Consider the following 24752-nt stretch of genomic DNA (forward strand, 5'->3'; position numbering starts at 1 on the left):
TGACAGGGACAGAAAGTGGAATTGGACATCGTTTGAGTGCTTTTTTTGTTTAGCTCATCATCCTGAGAGCTTAGAGAGCTGGTTAGTGAGGGTGAATACACACAGGGGCAGCTTGGAGTTGCCTGAGTATTACTTGTTTTAGCAAGGAGGTTATATGGCCATGAGATGGAAAGAACCATTTGAGAATCATGAGTTCCAGGCAGAATGATAGGAATTGAACTGACAGTGGTACCACTGATGGTATGAAGAATTTGAGAAGGAATTTGTACTTGCAGGGGGAACTCATTTCAAATGAGCTCATTTCAAAATATTTTTAGTTTTGAGGGTGGTAGGAGCCTCAACAGGGTATGCTCAGAATCCAACAGGTAGAGGCCTGAAGTTGGGGCAGCAGGCCAGGGCTTGAGACTTGTAGATCATTCATGTTGAAATCAAAGTCTTGAGAAAACAAAGAGCCCACACAAACTAAGGAGCGATCGGAGAAATACAGAAAAAATAGGAAGTCACTGTTCTCAAAAGACAAAGCTCCAGTATGGAGGTGAGAACTGTGAAAATTCTGGTGAGAGAGGTTGGACAGGCTGAGAACAGAAAAAAAATACTGTCCTGAGGAATACTAAAGAGGAGAGATGAGAGATAGGGGTCAAGGGTGACTTCGGAGCTGGGGACATTTGCTTTAAAACAGCAGTAAAAAGGAGCAAGAGGAGAAGGAGAAATCCACCACACCACCCAAGATTTTTTCTTCGGGAGGGAAGTGTTTACGAGCATTGGGAAATCTAAGCACAAACCGATCCAATCTTTGCTGTAAGGTTGATGAGTTTCTGTGTACAGATTCCTAGCGTGAGAGATGACTTATATCAGATGTTTACATGTAAAGAAAACCGACTACACAGACACACACATAATCCATACCTTTGAGTCGATTGTTTTATGAACTGCTACAGTGCTCTGTGTGTGTGTGGTGTTTTTTTGTGTTTTTTTTTTTTTCTTTCCCGATGAGGACAATACAAGGAGAATCCGATTTAAATTTAAATTACAGAGATGGAGATTGAGGCTCCTCCCAAGGGGACAACTTATCCTGTTAAGAGACACTGGGGGACGATATTGAGATGGGTTATGAAAGATCAATTCCTATGAAAGATCAATTCCCCTGAGAGCTCTGAGAATAGGATCAAAGTAGAAAGCGCAGTCTGCCTCTGCTTGGTTACACTGAGCCGATGTTTCTTTAGCCAAAGGCAGTGGGCTAGTTTAGACGGCCTTTCATTCCCGGCAGCGCCTGTGGGTGCGTGTGACCTGGGACAGAGGGGCAAAGGAACCTGGCAGAGCGAGCTTGGGATGCCGCGGCCCCTTTAAGAGCGGCGGCGGCGGCGCGCGCTCCGACGGCTACCCCCGGGCCCCGCCCCTTTCCCGTGAGCCCTCGGGGAGTGGTCCGACCGCGGGCGGCCGCCGGTGAGGTAGGGGCGGGAGGCGGGGGGAGACATGGCTCGGCGCGGCTGGCGGCGGGCACCCCTCCGCCGTGGCGTCGGCAGCAGTCCCCGAGCCCGCAGGCTCATGCGGCCCCTTTGGTTGCTCCTCGCAGTGGGCGTCTTTGACTGGGCAGGGGCTTCGGACGGCGGCGGCGGAGAGGCTAGAGCCATGGACGAGGAGATCGTGTCCGAGAAGCAAGCCGAGGAGAGCCACCGGCAGGACAGCGCCAACCTGCTCATCTTCATCCTGCTGCTCACCCTCACCATTCTCACAATCTGGCTCTTCAAGCACCGCCGGGCCCGCTTCCTGCACGAAACCGGCCTGGCTATGATTTATGGCAAGTTCCTCAACCCTTGTCAGCCCCTTGGCGCTGCCCCTTTCTCTGCCCGCCGGCTGCTTCGCCTCCTCTGCTGGCCCTGCTCGGCCTACGTTCGGCTCCCCTTCTAATTCCTTCCATTTTCTGCCTCGCCTTCCCCCTACCCCGCGTTTCTCTGCCTCACCCCCTTTCCTCTTCAGCCTCGCGCCCCATTTTATCTGCCTCTCCACACCTTTTTCGCTTCCGACCCCACCCCCTTTTTCCTCCGCACCCCCAGCCCCCCACCCTTTCCCTGCCTACCAAGCTCGGGACCCGGGGCTGAGGATGGAAAACGAGTGGGCGCGGTGTCTGGAATTGGGCTGGGGGCTGGGGGAGGGGAGACACCATTGCGATCCATTTCTCTGGGGTGTCAGTTTGTTTAAGGTTCATTGAAACTGCAGTAGTATCTCTACTGCCCAGAATCTGGCGTTCTTTTGGAGCCAGAGTCGACCTTTACTCAACACCTAGCTCCTGCTACGCCCTGTCCTTTCGAGGTTGCAAAGGAAAATCTTATTCTTGTGGAGTCCGAAAAAAAAAACCCGAACGTGAAATAGGCTACAGAAGGCTTAGGGCATTTTTAATGACATCCCATTTATTGTACTATGCCTCTAATATCTGATATGGATACCTGTGGTTGACCCTTCCAATTCAGGCATACAAAAGTGAGGACGAGGAAGAGTTAAGGTCCTTCCAGAAGTATAGTGTACTATACGATGATCAGGACAGTTCAGACAAACAGTAATTACAAACACCATGCATATGCAGTATGGGTGACTTGCTGTTGGCATGAGGTTATTGACCGATTGTAGAATAAATGGCTTCGATTCTTGTGTCTCAGTCTGCTTTCTGAGGTTTATTATTATTATTATTATTATTATTTTGGTGACAAGGCGAGAAGGGGTAAATCAAAGTGTGGGCTCAGAGGCATTTTGAGCTGTGCTGGGGCCTCAAGAGGAGAAAAGATACATATTGCCGACTGTATTAATCTGTGCGGGTATTGCTAAAGAGATGAGGGCGGACAAACAATTCTTTCTGTGCAGTACATGTGTGAAGATTATCTTCATTTGGAGCAGTTAAACCGATGAGCTTGTTGAGGTTTGTCTCTCAGACTTGCAGATAGGTAGATGAAGCTTTGGCACAAAAGACATTGCTCCATGCAAACCCCCGCCCCCTAGTAAATCCAGACTTCTGTAATGTGCATCTCTCAAGGATAGCAAGGAAAGGTAGTTGTGTGCCTCAGGAAGATGCATGAACTCAGGCTTATTTTTCATTTTTAAGAGAATACAGTTCTGAGCCTGCGTGTAAAATATCTCTGCTCACTAAGATTCCTAGTTTTTAGACATATTAGATGGTTTTTATATTTAATATGTTTTGCATTTCATTTGCAGTGCACCTTAAGCCAAATTGGCCAGATAAGCTATATATTTCTATATAATTTTCTGCATAACAGTGTGTGATTTATTTACTATCCTCAACAAACATTTGTTGATAAACCTTCTATGTATTATGCTCAGAAAATACAAAGAGGTATAAGATCTTTGCCTTCAAGTCACTTATAGGCAGGTCATATAAAGAAAATAATGGCATCTTAAATTTGGTTAAATGCCAAATGAGTATTATAAAGTAATGAACTGATCAGAGATACTTCTTTTATAGAGAGAGATAGTATGATGTGGTAATTAAAGGTACAAGGCTTTAGACCAGAGGTCAGCAATTTTTTTTTTTTTCTGTAAAGGGCCAGGTAGTAATGATTGTTGATCTTGTGGATACGTAGATCTCTGTCGCTGTTGCATTTTTTTTCTTTGATTTTTTTTTCTTTTTATAAAGTTTTACAACATAAAAACTATTCTTAGCTCTCGGGCCATACAAAAACAGACCAAGGGCTGTAGTTTGCCAACCCCTGCTTTAGAATCAGACCTAGATTCCCGTCACACTCTGCCCATAGGTATGTGTGATCTTAGACAAGTCCCTTACTCTCTTTTACCATCATCTATATGTTAGGGATGATGATAGTAGGATTACTGTGAGGAAGAAATGTTTTTAGACTAGTAACTGACCCTTAAGTAAATGCCCAAGAAATGATAGCTGTGCTATTATTATTATTATTGCTGTTACAACTGCATTTTCTCAGATTAGGCCCAGAACAACTCTTTTAATTGGTCAGTCTCATAAGTCAAGGGACAAATACAGTCTTTTTAAGAGAATCAAATAGGGGCTTTGAATTGCCCTGGAAATATTTTCTCTTTGGTAGCTGGTATCATTAACCTCATCTAACTCTAGGACTGAAGTAGAAAAGGATTACCGATTGCATTTTGTGAGGTTTCTAAGTTAATAAAAAGTGATAGAGCACCTTGGTGTTAGTATTTTTTGAAGGAAAAACAAGGGTATCTCTTGTGGAATGTAAAGTGCAAGAGTGTTAGTCTGGGAGTCAAATCTGGAGTTGACTTGGCGTTCTTTAGCCTGTCCTATTTTCTCATTGTGGGCAATGGGTGCTGTGGACCAAACAGCCTCCTAACTTAACTCGCAAGTCCAGTTCGAGAATAGATGGGATTGGGTCAAAGTTTCTTTCTTTCTCTCTCTTTCTTTTCTTTCTTTCTTTCTTTCTCTCTCTTTTCTTTCTTTCTTTCTTTTCTTTCTTTCTTTCTTTCTTTCTTTTCTTTCTTTCTTTCTCTCTCTTTCTTTCTCTCTCTTTCTTTCTTTCTTTTTTTGTGGAGGGTCAAAGTATTTTCAATAGCATGAAAATTGAAGTTTTCTTTTTCCTTTTTTTATTTTTGATAGAGTGTTGCTCTGTCGCCTAGGCTGGAGTGCAGTGGTGGGGTCATAGCTCACTGCAGCCTCAACCTCCTGGGCTTAAGTGATCCTCCCACCTCATCCTTCTGAGTTACTGTGACTACAGGTGTGCATCACCACACCTGGCTAATTTTTTATTTTTATTTTTGTGGTGACGCGAGTGTGGGGGGGTCTTCCCATGTTGCCCAGGCTGGTCTCAAGCTCTTAGCTCTTGGGCTCAAGCTATCCTTTCACCTTGGCCTCCCAAAGTGCTGGGATTATAAGTGTGAGCCACCTCGCCTGGTCAGAAATGGAAGTTTTCTAGTCCTATTTATTGTCTGTTATTTTTCTTATAGCTCTCACAACATCATAGCTATCTTATTATTATTAATATATTATTTTAAAACCTTTATTTTTCAGCATGACTCTGGGGTCAAAATGGGATGCCTAGACCTCTAAGATTCAGCCCACTGGTGATCTTATTCCTGTGATATTGGGTTAGCTACGTAAATCCTGGAAAATGCTATTAAAAATAAGCTTTTCCTTTATCTGAGAAGCAGGAGTAAAAACAGTTTAAATTGCCAAAGTGGTCAGTTTCTAGATTGTAATATAGATCAATTGCTCCAGTTACAAACACACAATTGCAAAGTACCCACATGTTTTGCTCCTTGGGTTAGCTTTCTTAAGAAGCTTAAAAGTGAGTCACTGTTAGTAAAAGTTGTCGAGGTAGTTAAATTAAGTCTGAAAAGTGATCACGCACTACACTGTGCTTACAGATGGTATAAAAAGCAAAATATGGCAGAAATATTTGTATTGCCTTAAGCTTAAGGCATCTGGAGTCCGAGGTTTAACCAATGTGATTCATCAATAAATATTGATTAGATGTCTATGATGTATGGGATATGATGAGAAATACATGTTTGAGCCACAGTATCTGCCCTCAAAGCACTTATCATCTAATGACTATGGCTCATACCTTATTTCTCATCATATCTTTCACAAAACTAATCTGTAGAAATTGTATCAGTTTTGGTCACACTTAATGCCCTAGTGATGTTCTTCCTATATTTTTGACTATCAGAGGCTTCAGGTGTGATTGGCTGGAATAATGGGCTGAAATCCATGAGGAAACCAGTCACTGCCAACTGGGAGAATCACACATTAGTAGGGCCTTGGGTGATGCTGATTTTTTTTATCACTGGGAGACTTTTCAGCACAGGAGGGTCAGGAATGTGTAGGAGGGTTAGGACCTCTCTGTTTTGTGAAAGATATCTCTTTGTGGTTGTGTTTTTTTTGTTTTTGTTTTTGTTTTGAGACGCGTTAGGACCTCTCTGTTTTGTGAAAGATATCTCTTTGTGGTTGTGTTTTTTTTGTTTTTGTTTTTGTTTTGAGACGGAGTCTCGCTCTGTCTCCCAGGCTGGAGTGCAGTGGCGCTATCTCGGCTCACTGCAAGCTCCGCCTCCTGGGTTCATGCCATTCTTCTGCCTCAGCCTCCCGAGTAGCTGGGATTACAGGTGACCGCCACCACGCCTGGCTAAATTTTTTGTAATTTTAGTAGAGATGGGGTTTCACTGTGTTAGCCAGGATGGTCTCGATCTCCTGACCTTGTGATCCACCCACCTCGGCCTCCCAAAGTGCTGGGATTACAGGCATGAGCCACAGCACCCAGCCATGGTTGTGTTCTTTGTTGCCTGTTAGTGGTCATTTAAAGTTTCATAATATAAATATTTTCTGTGCCTCCCTCTATGTAGGAGGCTAGAAGTTTCTGCTTTAGTCTCTTAACAAAGCTCTGTTTTTGTATCCTTTCACTGAGAATTGCTTTGACTCTATGACTAGGATTTGGCCTTTTACAGAACCCTCGTTAACTTGATCTGTGAATTTTTTTCAAATACCAATTTTTCAGATGCCTGGTGCCATAATAAAGGGATCTTGATTTTGTTTTCAACCTAAATAATTATTCTCCATGCTGTTGTTTTATCGACCAAGGTATGTGTTTCAAATTTGCCCAAGTGCTGAGCTCTCCTCAGGGTACCCAGTGATGCTTCAGCATAGGGTTGGGCAAACAGTAGAACCAGTGGGCACTCGGGAGGCGGAGGTTGCAGTGAGCCGAGATCACGCCACTGCACTCCAACCTCAGCAACAGAGTAGGACTCCGTCTCAAAAATAAATAAATAAATAAAATAAAAAAAAAGAACCATGGTTGGGCTTGGGGACATGGAAGGAATTTATGCTGCCATTATTAGCATTTGTAGTAGCTTGTCTGTGATTTTTGCATGTAAATATAAGAGGACAGCTTTTACTGAGCCTCTTAATTAGCTCTTGTGGAATAGTAGAGAAAAGAGCTGTTTCTGTCTCATACAGGCAGAACGACTGGATCTACAGGCTTTTCTCTTCTAGGTTATGTCTGTCAAGTGCAGTTGCTATCTAACAGTCAGTTTTTAATTTTGTTTTTGGAGGTGAGATATTTTTAAAAGGTGTCTTTCATTTATTTTAAATTCGAACCTTTGTTTAAACGTTTTTAAAGTTGGTGTCATTATACTACTGTTCACGAATGAATCATTACTACTCTAAAAAATATATGTGACTATAAATTGACCAGAAGGATCCCTCCTCTCTGCTCCCTCCCTGCTTCCTGGGCAACTACTGCCTTTTTTTTTTTTTGGACAGAGTTTTTGCTCCATTGTCCTGGCTGGAGTGCGGTGGCATGATCTCAACTCACTGCAACCTCCACCTCCTGGGTTCAAGCAACTTTCCTGCCTCAGCCTCCCAAGTAGCTGGGATTACAGGTGCCTGCCACCACGCCCGGCTAATTTTTGTATTTTTAGTAGAGATGAGGTTTCACTATGTTGGCCAGGCTGGTCTCGAACTCTTGACCTCAAGTGATCCACCCGCCTCGGCCTCCCAAAGTGCTAGGATTACACGTGAGCCACTGCGCCCGGCTGGCAACGACTGCTCTTATACCTCCTCATTTCTGCTTCATCACTTCTCACTTGGGTCTGGTTTCCACTCCTGCTACTCCACTGAAACTGCTCTTATCAAGGTCACCTATGGCCTCCTTGTTGCCAAACCCAATGGATACTTCTAATGCCTGCCTTACTCGACTTTACTATAGCATTTGATAGTTTTTATCACTTCCTTCTCCTCAAAAATGAATTTTTTCCCTTTCTTCCTGACTTTGCCACCACTGGTTCCTTTTTTTTTCTACTCCTGTGGGTTTTCCTTCTCAGACTCCTTCATCAGCTCCTTCTCCTCTAGCAGCCCCTTAATGTTGGCTGTTAATAGATCAAACCCCAGATCTATATCATAGTCTTCTTCCCATTTTACTTGCTCCCCTGGCGATCTCATCTACATCTGACTTCAACCATCTTATGACTGCACAGTGTATATCTCCAGTTGAGACCCCTCGCTTTAGCTCCAGATACCACATACTCAACTATGCGTGTGTCACAAGTACATCCAACTCAACGTGTCCAAAACTGAATGTAGCCTTTTCCCCTGTAAATCTGTTCATCTGTGTATGTTCCTTACCTCATTGAATGTCCTTGTTATCCCCCTCGGTGCTCAGGCCAACTTACCCACCTGGTTACCAAATCAATTAAGGTTCCTCTTAGTCTTTCATCTCCCTTCCTCAGTCACTAAATCTTCCTAAAATATAATACCTTCAAAAAATCCTTCTCGCCTCCTGTCAGTACTCTCTTAGGTTAGGACCTAAACTCTTATTGCCTGAATGCCTACAGTAGCCCTGTATCTAGCCTTTTAGACCCTCTTTAGTCTAGACCAGTCTTTCTAAAGTAGAAATCTGCTATCAAGCCTCTGCCTTCTATGACTTCATTTTACTTTTGGGATAAACTTCAAATTCCCTTCCCCAACAGATAAGATCTTTTATGATTCAACTCCTGCCAATCTTTCAAACCTCAACTCTTGTCACTTTATAAGCCAGCCATACTAAACTACTTGATTCACTGGATGGGCTGTGTTGTCTCCATCCTTGACTGATATGTACTACTATTCCCCTACGTGGAATATACCCATTTCTTCTAGTTTGTTACCTGCCCAGGTGACATCTCTGGAAAGACTTCCCTAATGTCTTACTCCCCCAGGGTTGCATAGTTGTCTCTTTTCTGTTTTTATAATACCTTGTATACATATATATATATAGCATTATGATTGTTTATTCAGTCTGTTTTCACCAACTGGACCGAGTTTTCCTTGACATTATGATTGTTTATTCAGTCTGTTTTCACCAACTGGACCGAGTTTTCCTTGAAGGAGGGACCTTGTTTTCATCTCTGAACCCTGGAGGCCTACCTAGCATAGTACACTCATTCACGTATTAAAAGAATGGCTGGCTAGTCAGAATGAAAGGCAATAGGAAGGTAAAATGCAGCTAGTAGTGGTATACTATGCATGGAGTTAAGGAAAGTTCCAGAAGTTTGGGTTTTATTTGTAGTTGAGGTATGTCCATACAATGAAATATCGTTTGGTCGTAAAAGTAAATGAGGTTCTGATGCATGCTACAACATAGATAAACCTTGAAAATATGCTAAGTGAAAGAAGTCAGACACAAAAGGCCATATATTGTAGGAGTTCATTTATATGAAATGTCTAGAAAAGACAGGTCCATAAAGAAAGAAAGTAGATGAGTGGTTGCCAGGGGCTGTGGATTCGGGCATGGGGGAATGGAGAGTGACTGCTAGTAGGTGTGGGGTTCTTTTTGGAGGGAAGGAAAATGTTCTAGAATTAGATAGTGGTGATTGATGTTCAACTTTGTGAATACACTAAAGACCACTGAATTGTACAGTTTTTAAAAGGATAAACTTTTGGTGTTTGAATTAGATATCAGTAAAGCCATTACTAAACAATTATAGTCGATCAATATAGTTTTATAGGGCTGGGCATGGTGGCTCAGGTCTGTAATCCCAGCAGTTTGGGAGGCCGAGGTGGATGGATTACAAGGTCAGGAGTTCGACCTTGGTCAGGAGCCTGGCCAACATGGTGAAACCCCATCTCTACTAAAAATACAAAAATTAGCCAGGTGTGTTGGTGTGAGCCTATAATCCCAGCTACTTGGGAGGCTGAGGCAGGATAATTGATTGGACCCGGGAGGCGGAGGTTGCAGTGAGCCGAGATCATGCCACTGCACTCCAGCCTGGGCAACAGAGCAAAATTTCGTCTCAGAAAAAAAAAAAATTTAGTTTTACAGTACCTAGAACATTGTGCATATTTGAATGTCAGTAGGATGATCCAGCAATCTGTTTGATGTCATAGTGCCAGATTCAGGACTTCTATTCCATGTTTTGATTTTGAAGCAGATTTTTAAAATTAAAATCTGATCTTTTAGAAGTAGAAGAACTCAATCAACCTACAAATATTATTGACTTTTCAATTTGTTAAATGTGCATTGTTTGGCCAGTCATGTGCTTTGGGAATAAACTTGCGAAGTGCATTGTTTAAGTCTTATAAATTGATGAATGGAGGTGAAAAACAAATTTCTTTTTTTTTTTTTTTGAGACAGGGTTTCACTTTGTTGCCCAGGCTGGAGTGAAGTGGCATGATCTCGGCTCACTGCAACCTCTGCCTCCTGGGTTAAAGCAATTCTCACACCTCAGCCTCCTGAGTAGCTGGGATTACAGGCGCCCGCCACCACGCCCGGCTGATTTTTTGTATCTTAGTAGAGTTGGGGTTTCACCAAGTTTCCCAGGCTGGTCTCGAACTTCTGAGCTCTCAGGCAATCCACCCATCTCGGCCTCCCAAAGTGCTAAGATTACAGGCATGAGCCACCGCGCCTGGCCAGAAAACACATTTCTAACACGATTGCACTGTCGAGTTGGGACACATTGGAGCATATTCTGTCTACAGATGATTTGAAGATATTTTCTCCTTTTGTTACCTTCCTCATTACTTATTTAAATATTGATCTAGAAATGCAGTGATCTGTGCTGTTGTCCTAGGGAATGTTTTTCTCTCCTGTTTCACTGGATTATATGAAGATTGGGCTGTTTGTTGTATGAATTTAGTAATATTTTAAAACATAACTGCATTTCATCTAAAAATCAGTTCTGAGCTACAGGGAACTACCGTAAGAGATTTTCTCTTATCCATAGTTATGCGTGGGGTACAAAAGAAGTGGTCTCTGTCGGCAAGAAGAGCTTATGTTGTTCTTTTTTCCAGGTCTTTTGGTGGGCCTTGTGCTTCGGTATGGCATTCATGTTCCGAGTGATGTAAATAATGTGACCCTGAGCTGTGAAGTGCAGTCAAGTCCAACTACCTTACTGGTAAATGTTAGTGGAAAATTTTATGAGTATATGCTGAAAGGAGAGATTAGTTCACATGAACTCAATAATGTTCAAGATAATGAAATGCTTAGAAAGGTAAGTTCTTAAAGGAAATCTTTGAATCTTTTTTGTGTCTAACTAGCAGCAAAATGATCCAGGAGAAAATAAGTAATGGATTTTTAATGATATTTAAAATAATGAGTCTTTTTCAATGGAGTAAAACCTCAATTAACAAATGTAATAATGTAAGGAAATGGATATGTCTGTACAACTCATTTTCTGATTGAGGTTAAGTAGTATAACTCTTTTTGTTTCTCTCTGGATTGTTTACAGCTTGTTGTGATAAATGGAGACTGGGATTGAGTTAAGCAGAATTTATAAGCGTTTCTTTCCATTTGCAGATGGTCCTTATAGTTTTCTTTTTCTTTTTCTTTCTTTATTTTATTTTTTCTGAGATGGAGTCTCACTCTGTCACCCAGGTAGAGTGCAGTGGCATGATCTTGGCTCACTGCAGCCTCTGTCTCCTGGGTTCAAGCAATTCTCCTGCCTCAGCCTCCCGTGTAGCTGGGATTACAGGCATCCACCACCACACCCGGCTGATTTTTGTATTTTTTAGTAGAGACGGGGTTCTACCATGTTGGCCAGGCTGGTCTCCAACTCCTGACCTCAAGTGAATCCCCCGCCTCGGCCTCCCAAAGTGCTGGGATTACAGGCATGAGCCACTGCGCCCAGCCGGTCCTTATAGTTTTATAGTACTTCAGCACATTGGCTTTATTTGATAATACCTAAAATATTCTATTAATATTTCTTTCAATTCTTTCTTGCCTTGCTTGTATTCTATACCGATCACAATTTAATCTTTCTTTGATTCACAATCTGACACAACTTCAGGGGCCCTAAGTGTGAGTCTGAGTTATTGTACCATATTGTGCATAAAGCTTTATGTTAGAGTTTGAGTTGCAATTGTACTGGCTCCCAGAAATCCCTGGAGCTGCTTTCTCCTGTCTCCCTCATAGGTTTATCATGACGTTTCTCATGATAAACGGCTCAATGCCACTTTGCTCATGTCTCTTTGTTTTCTCCTACCTTTGCTGTTTGCCTTCACTTCTGTCTGCTACATTGGCAGGACTTGACTTTTTTTTTTTTTTTTTTTTTTTTTTGACACAGGGTTTTACTCTGTCACCCAGGCTGGAGTGTAGTGGCACGATCTCAGCTCTCTGCAACCCCCGCCTCCCAGGCTCAGGTGACTCTCCAACCTCAGCCTCCTTAGTAGCTCAGACTACAGGCACGTGCCACCATACCCGGCTAATTTTTGTATTTTTAGTAGAGTTGGGGTTTCACCATGTTGTCTAGGCTTGTCTCAAACTCCTGGACTCAGGCGAACCACCCACCTCAGCCTCCCAGAGTGCTAGGAGTACAGGCAGGACTTGATTTTTATAGCTACTTGGTTGTGTTTCTGACCATCTTTAATGCTTTTAAAATTTCATATGAACTTGAGGTTTACCTTGCAGCAGGAGTTCTTTCCACCTGTGGAAAATTCCAATTCCTTAAAAGTTCTAGTTAACGAAGTTTTAGCATGGGTTTGTGTGTAGCTACTTTGTGTTCATGTCACATTCTACTGCAGCCTTATGAACAGAAGGGGGTATTTACATTTTTATGGTGACTAGGTCTTAAAATGAGTGGGCTATCGGAAGTAGAAATCTGAGCTGTACAGAAACTTTTTACTACAATATTATACAACTTTAGAGATGTTATCTATGTAAGAAATCTGTTTCTTTTTGCCAACAATAATACTGTACTCTTAAGTTTTATATTACCAGTTTGGGGTTTCATTCATTCATTTATTTTTTGTTGTTGTTGTTTTTGTTTTTTTTTGTTTGTTTGTTTGTTTGTTTGAGACAGAGTCTCGCTCTGTCGCCCAGGCTGGAGTGCAGTGGCGTGATCTCGGCTCATTGCAAGCTCTGCCTCCTGGGTTCACGCCGTTCTCCTGCCTCAGCCTCCCGAGTAGCTGGGACTACAGGCGCCCGCCACCACGCCCGGCTAATTTTTTGTATTTTTAATAGAGACGGGGTTTCACCGTGTTAGCCAGGATGGTCTCGATCTCCTGACTTTGTGATCCGCCCGCCTTGGCCTCCCAAAGTGCTGGGATTACAGGCTTGAGCCACCACGCCTGGCCTCATTCATTTATTTTTGGGATGGAGTTTTGCTCTTGTTGCCCAAGCTGGAGTGCAGTGGCACAATCTCGGCTCCTCCGCCTCCCAGGTTCAAGTAATTCTCCTGTCTCAGCCTCCCAAGTAGCGGGGATTACAGGCATGCACCACCATACCTGGCTAATTTTGTATTTTTAAAAGAGATGGGGTTTTGCCATGTCGGTCAGGCAGGTCTCAAACTCCTGACCTCAAGTGATCCACCTGCCTCGGCCTCCCAAAGTGCTGGGATTACAGGCGTGGGCCACAGCACCCAGCCAGGCTTCTTTTATTTAAAGCGAAAGTAATGTTCATGCTTTCTCTTTTTTTTTTTTTTTTTTTTTTTTTTTGAGACAAAGTCTCACTCTTTCGCCCAGGCTGGAGTGCACTGGCGCGATCTTGGCTCACTGCAATCTCTGCCTCCCGAGTTCAAGCGACTCTCCTGCCTCAGCCTCCTGAGTAGCTGGGATTACAGGCACACGCCACCACACCCGGCTAATTTTTGTATTTTTAGTAGAGTTGGGGCTTCACCATGTTGGCTAGGCTGGCCTTGAACTCTTGGCTTCAGGTGATCCGCCCATCCGCCCACCTCCGCCTCCCAAAGTGCTGGGATTACAGGTGTGAGCCACTGCGCCTGGCCCTATTTTTAACTTTTTTCTTGGTTTGTTTAGATGGAGTCTTGCTCTGTCACCCAGGCTGGAGTGCAGTGGTGCAGTCTCAGCTCACTGCAGCCTCTGCCTCCCAGGTTCAAGCAATTCTCCTGCCTCAGCCTCCTGAAACATTTTTTAATGACATAGTATTTTAATACACTTTCCACAGATAGGCCTTAACTGATTGTTCCAATGCTATCTCCTGGTCGTTTGGTTGAGAAGTAGAATAGAAACTATCCTATATGAAATATTTTTAAGTTAGCACAGTAATGTTCTTGCCTTTGACTAGTTTAACATATAGTATTTTTTCTTTTTGATCATTTGATAATGGAATATGAGGTCTTCTAGGGAATTGATCTAAAATAACTCTTTATTTTAACAGGTTACTTTTGATCCAGAAGTATTTTTCAACATATTACTTCCTCCTATCATATTTTATGCAGGTTATAGCCTGAAAAGGGTAAGTCCTTTTGTCTTTCATATACTTTGAATAATCTTAAACTCAGTGGGCTTTGTAATATTTGACACTTCAGAAATGGGCTGTTCTTTCCAGATTACCCTCCTTTCTCCTCTCCTTATCCTTTTTAGATGCTGAAATTTATACCTGTACAAGAATGCTTTCTCTTATTTATCCTAGTGAATAATGCATTTAATCCTAGTGAATAATGCATTTCATATTAGCATAGCATAGAAAACCTTTTCTTTTTCAAGTAACTGGTAAGTATTCTAACAGTGTAACTTTTTTTTTTTTGTCAGAGACATTTTTTTCGAAATCTTGGGTCTATCCTAGCATACGCTTTTCTTGGAACAGCAATTTCTTGTTTCGTTATTGGGTAAGTATTTTAAGCTTAAAATACTTTGTGGCCTTCAAATTATAATTTTAAAATAATATATTTTTGATTTATGCAGTGTTATATATTCCTGACTGGGTCTAAAGACTTTTGCAATATTCACGTAGGTAATAAGTTGTTTGAATTTTCCTTAAGGCCAAAGTATTACCATATTTCAATGACATGAATTAAATTTGGGATTAGTCACAAAGTACTACAGTAAACCCATCTTCTTACTTTATCCTAATTTTTTTAACAGTTGATATTTTTTTCTAAAGTAGGACTGTGTTTATTGAACAGGTCAATAATGTATGGCTGTGTAACGCTGATGAAGGTAACGGGACAACTTGCAGGAGATTTTTACTTTACAGATTGCCTACTGTTTGGTGCCATTGTATCAGCAACTGATCCAGGTATGTTTTATATGAGTGGAGTTTACATACTTGAGGTGCATTGTTTTGCAGTCAAATACATGTGGGTTTTTCTTTCTTTGAGGTGTAGAATTCATGATTAGATACTTCCTTAGTACTATACTTTCTAATTGTGGAGGAAAAAACAAAATTCATGATTCCTTTTGGCTTCAGCACAAATTTGTTTTCCTTTTCCTTTTTTTTTTTTTAATTACATTTGCCTATTACTGGTCCACAAGTTGACGCTGTTTCAACAAGGACTATAAGGTACTTTCTTCAGAAATTCATGTTGGTCTTTATCCCTAGTGATTGAGTATAGAAGATGAACTAGATTATAGATTAGTTTAAATGGGTAATAATTATATATTTCCTTTCAAGCTTTTAGAAAACCAGTTCCCTAAAAATCTTTCAGTTTCTATTCAGCTGTATGCATTTAACAGTAAGAAAAAATGTTTACAAATGATTGTTAGAAGGCAGTTGTGCTAATACAGGTTTGATTTGGAGTCATTGGAGGACTTTAATATACATTAAAGAATTGTTTTTATAAAATTGGCTTTATGATTATACAGTTGTTTGTTTAATATTAACACAACTTGTTCCCCTGTGCTTTAAGTGTCAGATCTTCTAAAAGTTGTGTTCCAGAATGAATTTAATTGTACTGAGTTAGGTTTTAGTTTTCCTGATAGAGTATTGGTAAACTTAACAGCTACATTCAAATTAGGAATTTGGAGAAGACACAGAATGGAAAGGTTGGGGTAGGAACATAGACTGATGTTTTTGAACTAAGGATGGAAATTTTCTTTTAGCATGCTTTAAGACTTTCGTTGAAGCTCATTTTGTTTTACTTTTTAACCTTGTAAGTTAATCATCTTTAATTGTCATCCAGCACAATTAAAGGTAGAATCCTAAGGTTATCTCTGCATTCCTGTGTTAACTCTGATAACACAGGGCTTTATGGGAAGGAGAAAAATGTGTTCAATACTCTATGAGAGATATTTTGGCTGGACACAGTGGCTCATGCATATAAATGCCAGTGCTTTGGGAGGCCGAGATGGTAGGATCACTTGAGACTGTGAGTTCGAGACCAGCCTAGGCAACACAGTGACACCCTGTCTCTACAAAAAAAAAGAAAAAAAATAGCTGAGCATGGGAGTGCGTGCCTGTAGTCCTAGCTACTTGGGAGGCTGAGGTGGGAGGACCACTTGAGCCTAGGAGTTTGAGGCTGCAGTGAGCTGCAGTGAGGCTGCAGTCTCATTCTGCCTGGGCGAGAAGGGCGAGACCCTGTCTCCAAAAAAAAAAAAAAAAAAAAAAAAAAAGATTTTAAAGGATTAGTTAGAGGGCCATTTTAGAGAATTTGTGTAGTTTAGCATTTTTAAAACTGGAAATTAAATTGCTTCCTTAAAGACCACCAAAGCTGTCCTCTCATTGTTTGTAGCTACTCCCATTATCAACATGAAGGTAGGATGGTTTTGGCAAGGAGCCGGTGGTCTCTGGTTTCTGTGTCCTTTCATTATAAGCAAGGTTCTCAACTTTTCAAATCCTATGAGAAATCTGAGTCCATGAGTCCATTGGCTTGGCTACATTATTTCAACTTTCTGGTTTTGTTTGATAGGACTATTGCCTGAATAGCCCAAGCAAATATCTTTTGCTTATATAAAGTTGGACTGTTATTTTTTTCTGAATTATGTAAGTACTTGCCCCATTTCTATTATTTTACCATTGTTAGCTTGCTCTTAGAAGGGTGAGGTATGGGTTTCTTTTAGAAATTCTGCACTATTGCTCTACTCTCCTTCTCCCCCTCTCTTGATGAGCTTTGGTATCAGTATATTCCAGCTGCAATGCTTTGTAGTAGAAACTATATCTTTTAAAATATACTGGACATGGTGGCTCATGTCTTTAATCCCAGTGACTCAGGAGGCTGAGGCAGGAGGATCACTTGAACCTAGGGGTTTGAGGCTGCAGTGAACTGTGATTGTGCCACTGTACTCCAGCCTGAGTGACAAAGCAAGACCCTGTCTCTTAAAAAAAATTAAATAAATAAAATGCAAGTTTCTTGTTTTTATGATTGGCATTTGAAAAGGCTCTCTCAGCTGGGTCTGGTGGCTCACGCTTGTAATCCCAGCCCTTTGGGAGGCTGAGACAGGTGGATCATGAGGTCAGGAGATTGAGACCATCCTGACTAACACGGTAAAACTCTGTCTCTACTAAAAATACAAAAAAAATTAGCCAGGTGTTCTGGCGGGCGCCTGTAGTCCCAGCTACTCGGGAGGCTGAAGCAGGAGAATGGCGTGAACCCGGGAGGCGGGGCTTGCAGTGAGCCGAGATTGCGCCACTGCACTCCAGTCTGGGCGACAGAGCAAGACTCCATCTCAAAAAAAAAAAAAAAAAAAAAACCAAAAGGCTCACCTCTCGTTATATTAATTTTTCATGTCCGCTTGGGTTTCTTTAGTAACTGAGCTATGTGACTTAGTAATTAAAGTTATAATATAACTTCAATTTCATCTGATTTTCTAAGATTTCTCATATAATTGCTTTCCTAAAAGGAGGATTTATTGTTTTTCTTCTTAAGCTGGAATATTCTCATAGTTGGCTTCTTATTAAGACAAATCCAGCAGCTGTAATTCTGGTCATAAATTTTACCCCAACCAAAAACTAAACCTATGTTTTCATTTCCTACTGTCTTTGCTAAACCTTTGTGCTTGCAATTTGTAAGTCAAGTACAAATGAGTTGTAAGGCCCAAAGAAACAAAGTTTGCAACATTAGATTCTTTTCATAATATTCTTCTTCATTAAAGATTAATGACTACATGGTCTATAAGAAATTCTGAATATATTCTTTGTGGGAAAGAAATGTACAAGACACGATTATTAACATCTGCGTGAAGAATGTAGGCCAACTCAGTTCTTCAGGGTTACTTTCAGCCATTTTTAAGAGAGAGAGGAGAAGTTTGTGCAGGTACACAATTAGAAAAGAAAAATATTTATATAAAATTACGGGGTCTTTAATATGGTAAGAGAATGTTTATTAGGATTGAATTCTAGGAGGAAATGAATTTCTAAATAACTCTCAGAGTCATCTACTGAGGAGAATATGTTATATTTGTAATGTCTAAGTATTCCTCTGACTCTTTTTACTTACTAGTGACTGTTCTTGCTATATTCCACGAGCTTCAAGTTGATGTTGAACTCTATGCACTTCTTTTTGGTGAAAGTGTCCTCAATGATGCTGTTGCCATAGTGCTGTCCTCGTAAGTGTTTGTTTTCTTATTATATTCTGAATATTAAGTGTGAGGGTACTAGGAACTGAAAGTCACTTATTGAATAAAGTACATTATGAATGGAAACATTTGGAAGAATGAGGCATTTTTTTCCCTCTTGAAGAAATCCATATTTTATAGATAAATTGGAAAATACAGGGAAGAGAAAAATATGTACTGCCACCACCTAAAGACAATTACTGTAAACATTCTAGAACATTTCCTTTTCTATGTATGATATTGTTACATAGTTGTGATTGTAGTGTCTGTATAATTTTGTATTCGGTTTTAACATTACAACATGAGCATTTAATTTTTTAAATTAGATTTAATATTTTCTTTCTTTTTTTTTTTTGGAGATAAGAGTCTCACTCTATCACACAGGCTGGAGTGCAGTGGCGTGATCTCGGCTCAGTGCAACCTCTGCCTCCCAGGTTCAAGTGATTCTCCTGCCTCAGCCTCCCGAGTAGCTGGGATTATAGGCACCCGCCACCATGCCCGGCTAATTTTTGTATTTTAGTAGAGATGGGTTTTCACCATGTTGCCCAGGCTGGTCTTCTCCTGACCTCAGGTGATCCACCTACCTCGATTTCCCAAAGTGCTGGGATTACAGGCGTGAGCCACTGTGCCCGGCCTTAATTTTTTCTGAATACATAATATATTCACGTGGCTCATAAATTAAAGTCATGTAAAAAGTTACACACAGAAAATTCACACTCTTACATCTGTCCTCATCCACCTGTCCCCCTAGTTCCTTGTAGATAACTTTTTTTTTTTTTTTTTGAGACGAAGTCTCGCTCCTGTCCCCCAGGCTGGAGTGCAATGGCACGGTCTTGGCTCACTGCAACCTCTGCTTCCTGGGTTCAAGTGATTCTTCTGCCTCAGCCTCCTGAGTAGCTGGGATTACAGGCTCCTACCACCACGCCCGGCTAATTTTTGTATTTTTAGTAGAGACGGGGTTTCACCATGTTGGCCAGGTTGGTCTCAAACTCCCGACCTCAGGTGATCTGCCCGCCTCGGCCTCCCAAAGTGCTGAGATTACAGGCGTGAGCCACCACGCCCGGCCTAGATAACCATTTTTATTAGTCTCTTACCTATCTTAGTATTTCTTTATTCAAATGCAGGCACAACCGTGAATAAATAGTCTTATTTGCCTCTCATTTCTTATTTTTAAAGTTACATACTGTCTATCTTCTGGAGAACTTTGCATGTCAAAAGAGTGAATATTCTCATTCTTTGCAGCTATATAGTATTCTCTGTGTGAACTGCATTATTGTTTATTTGCTCAGTCTCCTATAGCAGGACATTTGAAGGGTTTTTAATCCTTTGCTGTCCCAAAAGGTGCTGCAGTGATTAACCTTGAACTTACCTTGTTTTATACATGTTTAGGTATAATGGTAGGCTGAATGTCCCAAAGTGAGATTGGTAGGTAGGTTAAAGGGTAAAATCCATTTGTAATTTTGTTCGACATTGTTAAATTGCTCATCAAAGAAATTGTAGCACTTCGCACTTTCACCATTAAATTATTGGTCTGTTTCCTCACAGTTTCGCCAGCAGAATATTTGTCAAACTTTTATATTTTTGCTAACTTGATAATTGAGAAATATCTCATTGTAGCTTAATTTGTGTTTCTCTTATTTGACATAATCATTTCAAAACATTTTTAATCTCTAGAAGTGTTAATATATATTATAGATATGTAGTTATGTATTACTTATACCAATTTAATTGCAGACAATTTTGAATGAGCAATATTTTTTATCTAATTATAGAAAGTACTATACATGTTACTATAAGGTGTTTGCAGGTTGAAGAATGAGTCTGAACCTCTGAGGAATTCAATCCTGCCTCCCTAATCTTTTTTTTTTTTTTTTTTTTTTTTTTGAGACAGAGCTTTGCTCTGTCACCCAGGCTGGGGTGCAGTGGCGCAATATAGACTCACTGCAACCTCCACCTCCCAGGTTCAAGCAATTCTCCTGCCTCAGCCTCCCGAGTAGCTGGGACTACGGGCATGTGCCACCATGCCTGGCTCATTTTTGTATATTTAGTAAAGACGGGGTTTCACTGTGTTGGCCAGGCTGGTTTCGAACTCCTGACCTTAGGTGATCCACCTGCCTCGGCCTCCCCAAGTGCTAGAATTACAGGCGTGAGCCACCATGCCTGGCCCCTGCCTACCTACTCTTATTAGGCAAATATCTAACTCTATAGGCAGTTGCCCTTACTTCATACCAGAACTTTCTATGAGAGAGAAGTAAGAGCCCTTCACATTTTCTCTTTATTTTTATTTCTCTCCTTAATTTTCACTTTGTTAGTTATGAAAGAATAAAACATCACTGGCTCTGTTTTGCATAGCCTGATTGTCTTCTGCAAAGTTGGAAATTATTATTTCTCAGATGTAACATTAATCCCTTAAACGTTGTATGTGAAGATATACAAAAGGCCATATCCTTTTTTGTGAATGCAATGTATGTAAATATTACCCCCTCCCCACCATATTTATTGCCAGATTTTTTTTGCAGCTGTCTGCAACTAATATAAATTTAACTTGAGAAATAAAACCTAAAGGCTGTAACTCATATTGATACTGAACTTTAGCACCTTCAATGATGATAGGTGCAGAATAAGAGTTTTGTATTATTTGAAGTAAGGGAGAAATGGATAGTATGGTTATAAAAAATGTTATAAAAAATGAAGCAACAAAGATTGTTGAAGCTTCCAGTACGTAGGTACATGAGCGATTACCAGCACTACAAAGTAAAGAGAGTAGGTACAGGCAGTCACTTTTAGCATCGATTCCCTATCCTAGACAACTATTCTACTGTTCAGTCATCTTACTAGTAACTGTTGTCTTATCATTGCCCTAATGGCCTAATGGATTAAGAGTTAGAAAATCTCTGTTCTGGTCTTATCTTAAACTGATGTGCCCTGTGCCTTAGTTTTTCCTATTAATAAAATTGCCTGTTTCCTGCATCTTTAGGAACAGTTGATTAGCGTTAGAGGAAAAGATAAAAACCCTCATTGAAAGATTTTGAGCTTGGAGTTATAAATAATCTATTTCCTGCAACATTAGGAATAGTTGATTAGTGTGAAAGGGGTCAAAACCTCATTGAAAGATTTTAAGCTTGGGGGTGTACATACCAGTGTTGGTGAAGAATAAATGCTAAAAAGAGAGAGCCGGCTGGGCGCAGTGGCTCATGCCTGTGATCCCAGCACTTCGGGAGGCCGAGGCGGGCGGATCACCTGAGGTCAGGAGTTCGAGACCAGCCTGGCCAACATGGCAAAACCCTGTCTCTACTAAAAATACAAAAATTAGTCAGGCGTGGTGGCACACGCCTGTAATCCCAGCTACCTGGGAGGCTGAGGCAGGAGAATTTCTTGAACCCAGGAGGCGGAAGTTGCGGTGACCTGAGATCTCGGCACTGCCCTCCAGCCTGAGCAACGGAGCGAGACTGTCTCAAAAAAAAAAAAAAAAGAGAGAGAGCCCTTTCCATAGCATTTCTCACAAAGGGCCATACTTCTTCTCTTGCAGCCTTTCTCAAACAGGGTTTTCTGTGAGAGAATGAAGCCTTATAGGAAACAATTTGAGTGAGTCTTTTCTCATTTCACCTAAGGATGATAGCGAGCTAGTGCCATTTTAAATTTGTAAGAGATAATACGTTAACTCATTACAACCTCAGTGGGATTCTGGTGGAGAAGGACTGTATCTTGAGAGGAACATAACAGAGAAATTGTTAGCTCTGTGTTTTAATAGAATTGAAAAAATGAGTTACTGCCCAAAAGCTGAAGGGAAAGCAGTTGTGTGCTCGCTGTGGGAGTTTACTAGCTGGAATGATCAGTGGTATCATGCTCATCATTCTTCATTTACCTTTTATGTGTTTTGAAGTGGGTTAGATGCAGATAGTCTACTTTGTGTTGAATTTTCTTAGTTTGAGGATTATCTACTGTCTGCATTCTGTGTAAGCAGCTTTGCATCAAAGGGGAGGGAACCCCTTTTTGAAGGAGTTCTGTTTGGCAGTTAACAGGTTAAGGCAACTCATCTTGAAATTTATGTTGGAGGTTGTTTTTGTTTCTGTCTGGTTTTTTTTTTTCCCAACTTTTATTTTAAGTTCAAGGGTACATGTGCAGGATGTGCAGGTTTGTTACATAGGTAAATATGTGCCATGGTGGTTTACTGCACAGGTCAACCCATCACCTAGATATTAAGCACAGCATCCATTAGCTATTCTTCCTGAAGCACTGTTTTTTTTTTTTTTTTTTTAACCTATTGGAGTAGCAGTTATTTTATTTTATTTTATTTTATTTTTTAAAATAATGCTTTTAATCCAGTGAGGGTGAAGTGAAATTGACTCCCTCATACATGGCTGCATGAGGTAGATCTATATGTATATTGATATATTATGTTAGATACGGTATATGTAGTTAGAGATAAAGTATACGTTGCATAGTATTCCACTGAATGGATTACCGTGATTAGCCTGGGGACCTAAATCCATATTAGTTTAAAATATGTTGTTTACAGTCATTTATATTTTTATGAAAGAAGATGTACAGAGAGACAACAAACGTGATAAACTGTTTAACTTCACTAATTACCAGAGATACATGCTAGGATCAGTAGCCATTTCTACCTATTCAATTAACAAGACATAACTTTTTTTTTTGAGACAGAGTTTTGCTCTCGTCACCCAGGCTGGAGTACAATGGCGCGGTCTTGGCTCACTGCTACCTCCGCCTCCCAGGTTCAAGCGATTCTCCTGCCTTAGCCTCCCGAGTAGCTGGGATTACAGGTGCACACCACCATGCCCAGCTAATTTTTGTATTTTTAGTAGAGGTGGGGTTTCACCGTGTTGGCCAGGCTGGTCTCGAACTCCCAACCTCAGGTGATCCGTCCGCCTCGGCCTCCCAAAGTGCTGGGATGATAGGCAGGAGCCACTGTGCTCGGCCAGAATTGTTAATGATAATGACATAGTACAGTCATTCTTAGCCAGGGGCAATTTGCCACCCCCTCACCACACACACACAGGAGATATTTGACAGTGTCTGGGGGCATTTTGGCTGTCATCAATGGGGGGGGGTTCCTATTGACATGGCCTAGTGGGTAGAAGTTTTCAATGCACAGGACAGCATTCCCCTCACCCCACCCCCATCACAGCCAACAAATAAATACCTGGCCACAAATATCAATAATGCTGTGGTTGAGAAACCCTGGTGTTGTAAAACTAGACCACTCATACATTGTTAACATTGAAATTGGTATTACCTTTTATCACTATTTATGATAATGTTAAAATATGTTTGTGGCAAAAATTTAAAGCATTTGACTCAAAAAGTAGAAAATTCCTGAAATTTCAGCTCAGAAATAACCACTATTAGGATTTTAATCCAGACTTTTTCCGTTAAGATAGTAGTATACATATAAATATGTTAATAATCTTTATAAACAATAAAGGCATAGTAGTATATATACTTTTCTGTAGCTTTTTTACTTGGATATTATACTATATTAATACCTCTATTATCACATTGGGTGGATGCATTACAAATTTACCTCTCCAATCCCCTATTGATTGATTAATATTTGGTATTTTCTAATATTGTATTATGACTAGCATGGCAGTGAGCATATTTATGTGTAAATCTTTGTGAATCCTTGTAAATATTTCTGTAGGGTATTTTTTAGGAGTAGAATTGCTAGGTCAATGGTATGATCATTAAAAAAATTGGGAGATATTATCATATTTCCCTCCAAAAGTGTAATGGAGACCTTTTGGAAGGCAGTGGAGCAACATGTAAAATGAGCCATAGGTATAGTAATAGTCTATTTTTAGAAATATAGTGCAAGGAATAGTCTAAAATATATAAAAAGCAAGAAGATGTTCTTTCAGTTATTTATAGTAGCAAAAATAGTAGAAGCAACTTTCAAATGTCTAACAATGAGGAAATGGTTGAATAAATTGTGCTGTATCCATTTGGACCATTGTGAAGTCTTAAAAACTGTAGTTATAAAGACTATGAATTTTTTTTTTTCTTGAGATGGAATTTTGTTCTTACTGCCCAGGCTGGAGTGCAATGGCATGATGTCAGCTCACTGCAACCTCCACCTCCCGGGTTCATGAGGTTCACCTGCCTTAGCCTCCCAAGTAGCTGGGATTACAGGCATGCACCACCATGCCCGGCTAATTTTGTATTTTTATTTTTAGTAGAGACGGAGTTTCTCCATGTTGGTCAGGCTGGTCTCGAACTCCCCATCTCAGGTGATCCGCCTGCCTCGGCCTCCCAAAGTGCTGGGATTACAGGCATGAGCCACTGCGTCCGGCCAAGACTATGAATATTTTTATGTCATTGTCAGTTAAAAAAGCATAATTCAAAACCACACATTCACTGTGATTACAGCTAAATAAGAATTAGCATGCATGTAACACAAAGAGGGGAAAGGAATACAGAAGGAAAATAAAATCGATCTATCAGGGTAGTGGAATGATGGGAAGATTTTTCCACCTAAACTGTACATTTTATTACTTTCAGGGTTTAAAAAAAAGTATTCATAAAAAATGCTACT

The 24752-nt window shown here is 40.7% G+C and overlaps 1 protein-coding gene across 11 annotated transcripts in view, besides 2 other annotated features; it reads left to right on the top strand.

Annotated features, from left to right (window-relative positions):
• Nucleotides 1-24752, top strand: part of SLC9A6 (solute carrier family 9 member A6) — a 73433-nt gene that overhangs the window by 10193 nt on the left and 38488 nt on the right. For 2 of the 11 annotated variants that reach the window (NM_001379110.1, NM_001177651.2), the window contains exons 1-7: nt 1406-1448; nt 1574-1798; nt 10757-10956; nt 14079-14156; nt 14453-14529; nt 14827-14939; nt 18079-18184. In NM_001379110.1, coding sequence (NP_001366039.1) covers nt 1630-1798; nt 10757-10956; nt 14079-14156; nt 14453-14529; nt 14827-14939; nt 18079-18184 — 743 coding nt within the window. In that variant the 5' untranslated portion in view covers nt 1406-1448; nt 1574-1629. Of the gene's footprint in view, nt 1-1405; nt 1799-10756; nt 10957-14078; nt 14157-14452; nt 14530-14826; nt 14940-18078; nt 18185-24752 lie in introns of those variants that run through there. The other 9 variants (NM_001400910.1, NM_001400911.1, NM_001438742.1 and 6 more) reach the window with 7 other exon arrangements.
• Nucleotides 1297-1536: a silencer, noted in NCBI's record as "silent region_21025". NCBI's record gives its function as "represses an Ori minimal core promoter by ATAC-STARR-seq in GM12878 lymphoblastoid cells {active_cell/tissue: GM12878}" and the evidence as "EXISTENCE:reporter gene assay evidence [ECO:0000049][PMID:35858748]".
• Nucleotides 1687-1806: an enhancer, noted in NCBI's record as "active region_29988". NCBI's record gives its function as "activates an Ori minimal core promoter by ATAC-STARR-seq in GM12878 lymphoblastoid cells {active_cell/tissue: GM12878}" and the evidence as "EXISTENCE:reporter gene assay evidence [ECO:0000049][PMID:35858748]".

The sequence above is a fragment of the Homo sapiens genome, chromosome X (assembly GCF_000001405.40).
Source record: "Homo sapiens chromosome X, GRCh38.p14 Primary Assembly".
NCBI lineage: Eukaryota > Metazoa > Chordata > Mammalia > Primates > Hominidae > Homo > Homo sapiens.